This window comes from Homo sapiens, chromosome 3, assembly GCF_000001405.40.
Source record: "Homo sapiens chromosome 3, GRCh38.p14 Primary Assembly".
Classification (NCBI taxonomy): Eukaryota; Metazoa; Chordata; class Mammalia; order Primates; family Hominidae; genus Homo; species Homo sapiens.
In genome coordinates, this window is record NC_000003.12 from 75,650,611 (window position 1) to 75,662,845 (window position 12,235).

General features: G+C 38.4%; 2 pseudogenes; one reads left to right on the plus strand and one right to left on the minus strand.

Moving 5' to 3' along the window:
* Nucleotides 1–2,641: 2,641 nt before the first annotated feature.
* Nucleotides 2,642–5,128, minus strand: AGGF1P3 (angiogenic factor with G-patch and FHA domains 1 pseudogene 3; annotated as a pseudogene).
* RARRES2P1 (retinoic acid receptor responder 2 pseudogene 1) lies at nt 7,905–8,528 on the plus strand (annotated as a pseudogene).

Consider the following 12,235-nt stretch of genomic DNA (forward strand, 5'->3'; position numbering starts at 1 on the left):
CACTGTACAGTGATCCAACCAGAGTAATTAGCATATTTAACACTTTAAACATTTATTTCCTTGTGCTAATAAAGTTCAAAATCCTCGCTTCAAGCTATTATAGAATAAACGGTACATTATTATTAGCTATAGTCATCGTGCTGTGTAATAGAACACCAGGATTTATTCTTCCTAACTGTAACTTTGTAACCCAGTGACAAAGCTCTCCCCACTCCTTCATCCTTCTGCCATCACTAACCTCTGGTAACCACCATCCTACTGTCTACTTCTATGAGACGGACTTCTTCAGATTTCACATGAGAGAGCAAGTGGTCTTTTTCTTTCTGTGCCTGGCTTATTCCACTTAACATAATGTCCTCTAGGCTCATCCATGTTGACACAAATGACAGAACTTCATTCTGTTTTATGACTGAACATTATTCTGTCTGTGTGTGTGTGTGTGTGTGTGTGTGTGTATAACATTTTCTTTGTTCATTCTGTAGATGGGCACTTATACACTGTTGGTAGGAATGTAAATTAGTACAATCATTTCCCATTTCTATAGGGAGAACAGTATGGAGGTTTTTCAATAAATTATAAATAGAACTACCATATGATCCAGCAATCTCATTGCTGGGTTTATATCAAAGGGAAACAAAATAAGCATGTCAAAAAAGATAACTGCATTCTCATGTTTATTAAGCAGTATTCACCATAACCCAAACCATTATTTCTTCTAAGTATTTCTTAATTTACCTTTTTTTCATATATTACACCCTAAACTTTTAAAGGATTCATGTCTGGTTTCCAATTTCTGAAACTTATGAGTCACTGATTCTTTGTCGCCTTCCTATTTAGAGAGTCTGGTAAAACAATTAAATGCTTTTTATTTCTTCTCAATCTAATCTTCATATAAAAATACATTTATATTTTCTATTAATTTGCCTTCTATAATATATACGACTACATTAATTGTGATCAGCATTTCACTTTACTAGCCCTCTTTTTGGCTCAGCCTATTTTAATATGTTATTTGTATGTTGTACATTAAATTGTTTTACAACACTTTCAATACTTTACTTTGCATTTGCCTCTTTTCCAAAGATAGCTTGACAAGCTCTTAGTTTCTTTCCACATTATTTTGGTTTCTTGTTTTTCCATTATATTGACTTAAACATTTAAATATAAATTCAATATCTGAGATTTATGTGCCATATAATTTCTTCTGATGCTTCACCCCAGTAGCTCATCTCCTTGTGTGCAACATAATTTATAATTTAATCCTCACATATGGGAGACACCGCATTCCAATGCCTGCAGGCAGTTTCTCTTTGTTTATTCCATTTGCCTTGTCAGAAGGGAACAACCCACATGGACCTGACATTCTTGTAATCAGATGCATCTGAGTGGAGCCCTGGCCTCTTAGGTTGATTACTTCTCTGGATCATTACCTTTATTTACTTCCAGTCCTGGGAAGTTTTCGTAATTTCCTTTCAACTATATTATGCATTCTGTGAATTCTTGTAACTTCTTGGTGATTTTAATTGTCTGCATTAAGTGTTTAAAGTATATGATTTTTCTGAAAAGCAGAAATATCCATAGTTGCATATATGAGTGAAATATTTTGCATAGATTTTCTATGGCATCTATCACCATGAGAAATTCCAAGTTTTTTCATTTGAAACACCCCTCTCATCAATAGACCATATTGTAATAATTTGTAGAATGTGATTACTTTTATATCATTAGAAAATTAATTATATATTATGTACATATTTTTGAAATACTCCACTGCAATAAATAGTATATGGTCAGAAGTATTGTTTTCTCTAACATAAAACTAATATGAGTAAAATTATTTACCTGGATTCAGATCTTTTGGCTTCAACGGCCATTCTGCCTCATTAGCACTTCTCTGATCCATAAAAGACATCATTTGTATTTTTTGTTTAATTCATAATTTATTGAAATGAATAATTTAACATTATAAAGTTTTATGGCAATTTAGGACATTTTCAATAAATATATTGAGCTTGAGGCCCTGGCTAAGTATTCCTTTTGTACTCGAAATCAGATTTTTCTGGCACAACTTCATTGCCTGCAATGGTATTTATAAAAAGTATGAATGCCAGCACATGGACTATTTCAATACTGTACTCATTTGTTCATGTATAAACATTTGATTAGCTATGAAACAAACCAAATACAAATGCTGAATGTATAGTATATATCAACAAATTCAGATTCTTCACCGAAGAAAACAATAAAAGACAAATTTTCTGTGACATGTCACCTGTTCATTAGTTCTTTAATATGATTTAGACTATTCCAAATATAAGAAAATGTATGCATCACTATTCATGTTGTCTCAATATTTTTTATCTAGGTCCTGAAGGGCATAAACAAGAATGTATATTGTCAGATTTATTTTTATAGACTTTAGATGTTTCTTTTGCTGTATTTTCTGTGCATACTACTATGAATATATGGAGACAAGGACAAATGAGCATTTAAGTGGTTACATGAATTTTGCTTATATGGCTAATTGCTTATATGGATGTTGTAAATGACAAGATAAAATAGTAAAGTTTGATAAACTTATCTGTGCCCTGTGAACTTTAGTTCACTTACTGTATAACTTAATTCAGTCACTAATAATTAGTTTAAGAAGTGTTTTTTAAAAGCTGCAAACCACACTTTATTACACATTTCTGAATCAGGAAGGGGTAAACTGTGACACAGCTTTCTTGTGCCACTGACTTTTTTGGGGAGAGACATTCTGCAATAAGAGTTTCCAAACTCTATTTATAAAAAAGCTTGAGTTTTCTTTTGTGATTAACCTTCACTCCTCAGTCCCTTTTACCCAAGGAATGGTTCCTAGGTCATCTTTTTGAAGTTTAGTTTCTGGAAAGTTTTCAGCAAACCTCTCCTGTGCTTTGTCCCAGTTGTTGTTGTTGTTGTTGTTGTTGAAAGTTTTCAGCAAACCTCTCCTGTGCTTTGTCCCAGTTGTTGTTCTTGTTGTTGTTGTTCTTGTTTTGGAGAAGGTGAGTCTCTTTAATTGAAGACGGTTTGTCTGTCTCCAATCCTGCATGTGTTTGCCGGAGCTGAAGCTGTATTGGAGTTTTTATTCTCCCACCATCCTTCCCCAGACCTTCTCCTGTTTTCAACACATCTTTTTCAACATCTTCTGACCTTTGTCGCCATCAGTAATTTCAGAATGAACAGATGCAGGAGCATCATCTCTTTGGAAATTTCCTTCATTTCCAATCTGCTCCCTATGTTTTCCAGCTCTATCTTTACATTTTGGATTCTCCAGTATCTTATCATCTTTGTAGTCTGTATTCTGTAAACCATATTTTACTCATATATTTTTAAAATCCTTTTCTTCTTTCCAACTAGTTTCCTTCTTAGTTAGTGATGGACCAACCAATGATTCATCTTTTTTATCAAGGAAAAGGTGAGCTCTAACATGCCCTGGTTCACATCCAACACAGCTATTACTGCCAGGGTGAATGTAATAAGATAACACAGTGTCTCCAATTTTCACTTTATCTCCATGCTCAGGTTCATAAGGGTCACATTTAGTTTTCAGCTGAACAATCCATTTTACATTAACAATTGTTCCATTTTGACTGCCTGATCCAAAAGGACATAACTTTGTAAGTCATGGTCAAAATAAATTTCTTCATGAAACTTATACTAACTTCAGGGATTCGAAGAGTATGCTCCATGTCATTTTCTCTTCCAATTGTAGCAGATTTTACAGCAGTAATGATGAAGAATGATCCTGTCTGTAACACAGGTGATCTAATGACAATTACTCTCATATATGAGGGCCACACTTTTTCCTCATCTGCCTCCTCAGTATCTTTTGCAGTTGCATTGCCTTTACTGGTAATGCCTTCATCATAACTACCCTCGGTCTGAGAGTCTGTAATTTCACCTTCTTCTGGTTCACTATCAGTCTCTGTGATTTTCTCATCCTTAAAAATGAATTGAGATGTTTTCATTAAGAGGAGATTCCATAGTATTTCCACTAACTGGAACAGTGAATTTTGGGGGATTATTTTTGTGTTGAATACCTATTTTGGCTTTTTTTTTTTCACATTTGTGAAATTGTCTTTCCCATTGCCGCTTGTATGTTCAACACTGAAGGCTTCTTGATCCTCTGAATTCAAATCCTTTTCCTCATTTTTTTTTTTTTTTGTAGAAGAATCTGGATCCTTTCTTTTCTGAATTTTTTATTTTTGTTTTGTGCTATAAGTCTGATAAGGTTGCAAATCTACTCGAGAATGAAACCGATAGCGACCACTTTCCACATCACATTAGTAATAAATGAAATCATAATATATTCGATTCTCAGAATCTTAATAGAAACCAGTGCTGTGGTCAAAATACAGTCCAGTATTTTCATCATAACTAAATCCAGTCTGTGATAAAGCCGCTTCTGTTGCAGCTCTCAAACTTCCAGCTAATGACGAACCTTCTAAGGACGTATCTTGCTGCTAATGCAGATGCTGGCTCCTGTGAATCTGAGGCAAATGACCCTCTTGTCTACATTTAACATTTGGTGTCCTATCAGTACCAGGGTGAACATCATTTTCTATTTATAACTGGTCGTTAGAATTGAAAGCAGGAGTTTCAATATCCTGATCTTGCTGATTTGACAGTTCAGTCACTCACTGTATTTGGAAGACTAACATCATTACAGTAGATCTGATAATAATCTGAGATTGACCAAGGAGCATGGTTCTCTGCGAGTACTTCTACATCAGACTTTTATTATCTCCATTTTTCCCACAGCGGAGTACATTACTGAGTTCTTCCAGCTGCGTGCGGAGCTCCTGGCGGTTGCTCCTGTCGCTCTGAGCAGCCGTCCTGTGCGAGGCCATAGCTTCTCCCGTTCCCGCACCTGCCGCCTGCAGCTCCGCGTTCGGGTTCCAGCTTCTCCGCCCTCCTTCTCTGCTGGGCCAGCTCGGGCTGGGGGAGGGGGAGGAGGGGCCACAGAGAAGGCGCTGGTGGCGGGTACGGGCCCGAGGCCGTGAGTTCGGGGCCAGAGGGCTGCGGCCTCGGAGGGGCTGCGCGGGGCCGAAGCGGGGGCCGGCGGAGCCACAGCCACGGGGGCGCGCGGGCAGCCACAGGCAGCCTCCCCGGCCAGGAGGCCCCGAAACGCGGAGCCTAACGGGGCTGCCGCAAGAGCAAGGGGACAGCGATGGCCCTGCCTGATCTGTGCGGCCTGGAATCCTGGGAACGACTGTACCTTCCCCAGCCACGGGGGCCGCGAGAGGAGCGTCGAAGTCCAGGGGCCAGAAGCGCTCCCGCTGTTCCCTAGTTGAGCTGGAAACAGTGGCCAAGCGTGTTTTAAATCGAGTTTCCGTGTGGCTAGATATTATCTGCTGGTTACTCTTATTTTTTTTCTCCATTCGTTGAGCTATGATTGACAAATTGAAAAGTGTGTATTTTTAGGGTGTACAATAGAGTGTTTTGAGATGTCAGTAGTCTTTAAATTACCTCAGTTACGCTAGTTAGCATATCTATCCCCTCACATAGTGAATACGTTTCTGTGTGTGGTGAGAGCACCTGAGATCTAGTCTTGTAGCAAATTTCAAGTACACAGTATTGTTAACTATAGTCACTATTCTGTACATTAGGTCCCAGCGGTTACTCACCTTGTAACTGAAGGTGCGCCCCTTCCATGGAAATCTCCCCACTTTCCCCACTTCCTAGCCCATGGGAACCACTGTTCTACTGTTTCCATGGCTTTTTATTTTTTATTTTTATTTACTTTTTTAGATTTTACATACAAACGAGATCATGCAGTAGTTGTCCTTCTGTATTCGGCTTATTTCACTCAGCATAATGTCTTCAAGATTTATCAATATTGTTGTAGATGAAAGAGTTTCATTTTTATTAAAGCCGAAATTAGGTATCCCTCAGTTTATTTATCTGTATCAGAGGAGTGCAGATAACCTTGATGATCCTGATTTTATGTCCTTTGGCTATATACTCCGAATTGGGATTAATGGTAGCTCTAGTTTAAAAATTTTAAGGAACCTCCATACTGTTTTTCATAATAGCTGCACCAATTGACATCCTCAGCAACAGTGTACAAGTGTTCTCTTTTTCTACACCCTAACACTTTTTATCTTTTGACTGTTTGATAATAGGCATCCAAACACCACGATAAGGTGATACCTCATTGTGATTTTGACTTTAATTACTCTGATAATTAGTGATGTTGAGCATTTTTTATATACCTGCTGGCCATTTGTATATCTTTGGAAAAATTGCTATTTATATATTTTGCCCAATTATTAATCAAGAAATTGCTTTTAATTCTGCTGTGGGTTTTTTGTATTGATTAGTATGATATATATTTTGGATAGTAACATATTATCCTACATATGGTTTACAAATATTTTCTCCCATTCCATATAATGCCTTTATATTTTGCTGATTGTTTCCTTTATTGTGCAGAAACTTTTTACTTTGACATAGTTCCACTTGTTCATTTTTGCTTTTGTTGACTGTGTTCTTGGTGTCAAATCCAAAACATCATTGCCATGACCAGTGTCAAGGAGGTTCCCCCCCTTTTTTTTTAGAGGATTCATGATTTCAGTTCTTATGTTTAAGTCTTTATTTCATTTCAAATTCATTTTGTGATGACATGAGAGAAAGGTTCACTTTTTTCTGCGCATATCTAGTTTTTCCTACACCACTCCTTGATGTGTTTATCCTTTCTCCATTCTGTGGGATTGGTTGACTGTATATCTGTGAGTTTATTTCTGGGTCCTCTATTCTGTTTTATTGGTTTTTATGTAGGTACTATACTATATTAATGACTACAGCTTTGAAATATAGTTTGAAATCAGGAAGTGTAAGGCTTTCAGCCTTTTTGTTCTTCTCAGTATTTGGCTATTTGAGGTCTTTTGTGATTCCCTACTAATTTTAAAATTGTTGTTCTACATTTTTAATAAAATGGCATTAAAATTTTGAAAGAAATTTAACTCTGTAGATCACTTTGTGTAGTATGGATATTTTAATAATATTAATTTTTAGAATCCATGAACACATATTTCCCATTTTGTATTTTTCATTTTCTTTCCTCAACATTTTATAGTTTTCAGTATGCAGATCTTTCATATTCTTTGTTAACTCATTCCTAAGTATTTCATTCTATTTGATAATATTGTAAATGGAACTATCTTTATTCCTGTTTCAGATATTTTGTTGTTACCGTAAAAAAATGCAACTGATGTTCATATGTTAATATTGTATCCTGAAAATTTACTGACTTAGTTGGTTAGTTATAACAGGTTTTTTTTTTCTGGTAAAATGGTGGGTATTCTGAATTCTGGTTAAACTTTAAATTGATAGTTGCTATTATCATTTCAAAATTATTTAAAATATGACCAGATGGATTCCTGCTTTCATGAATTCAATGGAATTCAAATCTTCCCATTTAAAATAATTTTGTCTGGTTGACCTAGCCCCAGGGATCCGGAGCACCCCGTGGGAACCCGGAGATTCGCTTGGGGGTGGGAGGGAGAAGCCGTCAGAGAGGGGGCTGAGCTGGGGAAGCAGAGAGGGGCTCCGGGGACAGCCGGGAGGAGAGAGGGTCGTGTCGGAGGTGGGGAGAGAGAATGGGCTAGAAAAGGAGGAAGGGTGAGAGTGGGCAACAGGACGGCTTCCCGGCGCGGCAGGGAACTTTGCTGAAACTGCGGGCCCCAGGGAACAGCGCGGGCAGGGTGGGAGGGAGTAGAGAGGACCCAGCACACCCCAAGGTCAGTGTGGAGAAAGGGACATTTCCCGGTTCCTTCGCCTCTGCCCAGGGTTCTGCGGGCATGGCCCACCCCCCCAGGGGCAGGGGAGGAGGTGGCTCCCGGCAGGCTCGGAGAACTAAGGGGCGCACACCCGCTTCTCAGGGCCGGGGTGACAGGGGAAGCCTGAGATGGCTGCGGATCTCGCTGGCCCAGTGGGTGGGCGCGGGGGACGCGGGAGGGGCCGAGCTCACCGGGCCAGCGCCGGGGCCTGCAGGTGGCCCTGGAGGAATCTTCAAGCACCCGCCCGTGCAGCGGGCCTTCCGGGAGACCAGTGTGGACAGCGCCCTGGACACGCCCTTCCCAGCTGGAACATTTGTGAGGCTGGAATTTAAGCTCCGGCAGACAGAGAAGCGGCCGGAGGAAAGACTGGAAGAAACCCAAGTGCAAAGTCCAGCCCGAGAGGAGGAAGCAGAAATGCCTGACCTGCGTCAAACTGGAATGTGAGGATAAGGTTCTGGGCAGGATGGTCGCTGCCCTCCAGAGGCGCAGACTCGGCGGGAGCCTGAGGAGCACCAGGAGGCCGGGTGCAGCCGGGCGGGGCGGGCGGTGAGGACCCCACAGCTGCTGCTTCCCTGCACAGTTCGCCTTCTCCAAGGCCCGGCCCCCAGCGGAGCCCAGCACTGAATCGCATGGCGCCCCCTGGAGCCCTGGCGGGGGTAACCAGTGGAAGACCCCACCTCCCAGGGAGAGGACCCCACTGTAACCCCAGATAATGAAACTGCTCTCTCCCCCAAAAAAATAAATAAATAATTTTGTCTGGTCTTTGAAAATGTGTATCCTCTGTGTACTGGTCAAAATGCTACCCATTTATCTATATGCCTAATTAGTCAAACTTTTTAATGAAGTTATTTAACATTCTTTTTTATTATGAAACAAAACAGTAAATTTGTTAATGGTTTTAATATCACCTAATATGATTGAAAAGATGTCAATTTGTCATTGTCAATGAATCTTTGTGTTATTTATTTTATTTTGTTACCTATTCTGTCCATAAAGGTCTAAGTGGCTTAGAATCTTGCCTAATATATTGTATGTGCTAAGTACTAACAACTCTAATTCATCAAATTATCTTTCTATACCATTCTTAAAATACAATATTATTTTTTATTTATTTTTGTTAAAATTTTTTTGCTTAATCTATTTATTTATGAAAATTATGAAGTCTATTCAGTTTGTCCTCTTGATAAAAGCCAAAGTTTTTTTTTTCCTCTCTTTTTTTTTTTTGAGACGGAGTCTCCCTCTATTCCCCAGGCTGGAGTGCAGTGACGCAATCTCGGCTCACCACAACCTCCGCTTCCCGGGTTCAGGTGATTCTCCTGTCTCAGCCTCCTGAGTAGCTGGGACTACAGGCGTGCTCCACCATGCCCGGTTAATTTTTTTTTTTTTTTAGTAGAGACGGGGTTTCACCTGTATTGGCCAGGCTGGTCTTGAACTCCTGACCACGTGATTTGCCCGCCTCAGCCTCCCAAAGTGATGGGATTATAGGCTTGAGTCACCGCGCCAGGCCTTTTTTTTTTTTAATCTCTTTATTAATACTTTAGAGAGTACAAATGCAGCTCCCTTACAGAAGCATGTTGCATAGGGATGAAGTATGGGCTTTTGGTGTGACAATCATCTGAATGTTGTTTATTGTCCCAATTAGTTATTTTCTCATTCCTAAACCCTCTCCAACCTTCCATCTTTCTGAGTCTCCAGTGTCTATTTTTCCAGTCTCTATATCCAAGTGTATGCATAATTGAGTTCCCACTTGCAAGTGAAAAAATACAGAATTAGATTTTCTGTTTCTGAGTTTTTTCACTTACAATAATGGCCTCTGGTTTTATTCATGTTGTTGCAAAAGACACGATTTTATTCTTCTTCATGGCTGAGTAGCATTCCATGTTATACTTGTATAGCACATTTTCTTTATTCGATTATTGATCGATAAATTTAAATTGATTTCATGTATTGGCTATTGTGAATAGTGCTGTGATAAACATGTGAGCATGGGTATTTTCTTTATGTAACAAATTATTTTCCTTTGGGTATATACCAAGTAGTGGGAATGCTGAATCAAATGGAAGTTCTATTTTTAGTCTATTTTGAAATCTCCATACTGTTTTCCATAGAGATTGTAGAAAGTTACTTTCCCGCAAACAATGTATAAGTGTTCTCTTTTCTCTGTATCCTTGCCGATAGCTCATTTTTCTGCTTTTTAGTAATAGCCATTCTGCATAGTGTAAGTTGGTATCTCATAGTGGTTTTTAATTGGCATTCCTCTGATCATTGACAACGTTGAGCATCTTTTACGTGCTAGTTGACCATTGACCATCAGTGTCTTTTTTTTTTTTAATGTTCATGTTCTTTGCTTGCTTTTTAATGAGGTTATCTTTTTTATTTTTGTTAAGCTGTTTGAGTTCCTTGTATATTCTGGACATTAGATCTTTGTCACATGCAAAACTTGTAAACGTTTATCTCATTCCATAGGTTTTCTGTTCACTGTGTTAATTAAAAAGCTCATTTTCAGGAGCTTTTTAGTTTGAGTTCCTTTTGTCTATTTTTGTTATTTCAATGTCTAGAAGAGTTTATCCTAGAGTTTCTTCTAGCATTTTTATAGTATCAGGTCTTACATTTTAGTCTTTTAATCCATATTGAGTTGATTTTTGTATATGGTGGGACATAGGGGTCCCATTCCATACTTCTGCATACGGCAATATGATTTTTCCAGCACAATTTATTGAATAGGATGTCATTTCTCCAGTGTATGTTTTTGTTGACTTTGTAAAAGATCAGTTGTTTGTAGGTATGTGGCTTTATTTCTAGGTTCTCTATTCTGTACCATTGATCTAGGTGTCAATTTATATCAGTACCATGTTGTTTTGGTTACTACAGCCTTCTAACATAATTTTAAGTCAGATAATGTAACATCTCCATCTTTATTCTCTTTGCTTAGATTTGCTTTGGCTATTCAGGCTCTTTTTGTGGTTCCATGTGAATTTTAGTGTTTTTTTTTTCTAATTTTATAAAAAATAACATTGGCATTTTGGTAGGAATTGCATTTAATATGTAGATTGCTTTGGGCAGTAGAGTCATTTTAATGATCATAATTCTTCCAATCCATGAGCATGGGATGTTTTTCTCATTTGTGTCATGTACAATTTCTTTCATCAGTGTTTTGTAGTTTTCCTTGTAGGGATCGTTCATCTCTTTGACTAATTGTATTTCTAAGCATTTTACCTTTTTTGTAGCTATTGTAAAAGGAAGTGACTTTTTAATTCAGTTCTCAGCTTGATCATCATTAGTGTATAAAAATGCTACCAATTTTTGTACATTGATTTTTGCATCCTGAAACATTATTAAATTTATTTATCAAATCTAAGAGTTTTTTTGGTGGTCTTTAGAATTTTTGTATATATGATATTATATAATTATCAAAGAGGGACAATTTGACTTTCTAATTACAACCACATAGATGCTCCCACCAAGACCAATAGACAGAGTCTCTGGGGAGGGCACAGGTGATGGTATTTCTTTAAGCTGGCCGTGTGATTATGACTGGAAGCATGGGCTGAGAGCCACTTAGCTAAGCATTGCCTCTCAAGTTTTTCTTTCTTTTCTTTTCTTTTCTTTTCTTTCGACAGAGTTTTCACTCATTGTCCAGGCAGGAGTGCAGTGGCACCATCTTGGCCCATGGCAACCTCCACCTCCCAGGTTTGAGTGATTCTGCAGTCTCAGCCACCCGAGTAGCTAGGATTATAGGCAACAGCCACCACATCTGGCTAATTTTTGTATGTTTTAGTAGAGACATGATTTGACCATGTTGCCCAGGCTGGTCTTGAACTCCTGACCTCAGGTGATCTGCCCACTTCAGCCTCCCAACTAGCTGGGATTACAGGCGTGAGCCACCACATTCAGTTAATTTTTTTTTTTTTTTTTTTTTTTGTATTTTTAGTACAGATGGGGTTTCCTTATGTTGGCTAGGCTAGCCTTGAACTCCTGACCTAAGGCGATCCACCCGCCTTGGCCTCGCAAAGTGCTGGGATTACAGGCATGAGGCACCGTGCCTGGCCAGACCTGAGTTTTGCCTGAGAATTTCTCTTTCTAAGAAAGTACATCATATGGCAGTTACAAGGTCTCTTTTATCTAAAATATATAGAATTTAATAAATAAAAATTTAAAAAATTTACCTGAGATTAAAGGACAAATCAAAACACATATGTAATATGTTGTCTGTAGGAGTATATTTTAACAGTGACATAAATTATTAATAATCACTAAATGTTATAATAATTTATTAACTAAAATGAACAAAATTCCTATTATGATATCTATGAAAATACTTCCTTAGAGTAAAATATTCTCATATCTTGAGAGGGCACTGGTTAAAAACAGCAAAGATGTGGAAGTCGATGTCTTATCAAGTACTTACTATCAAGTAAGTAGCAGACCCCCTT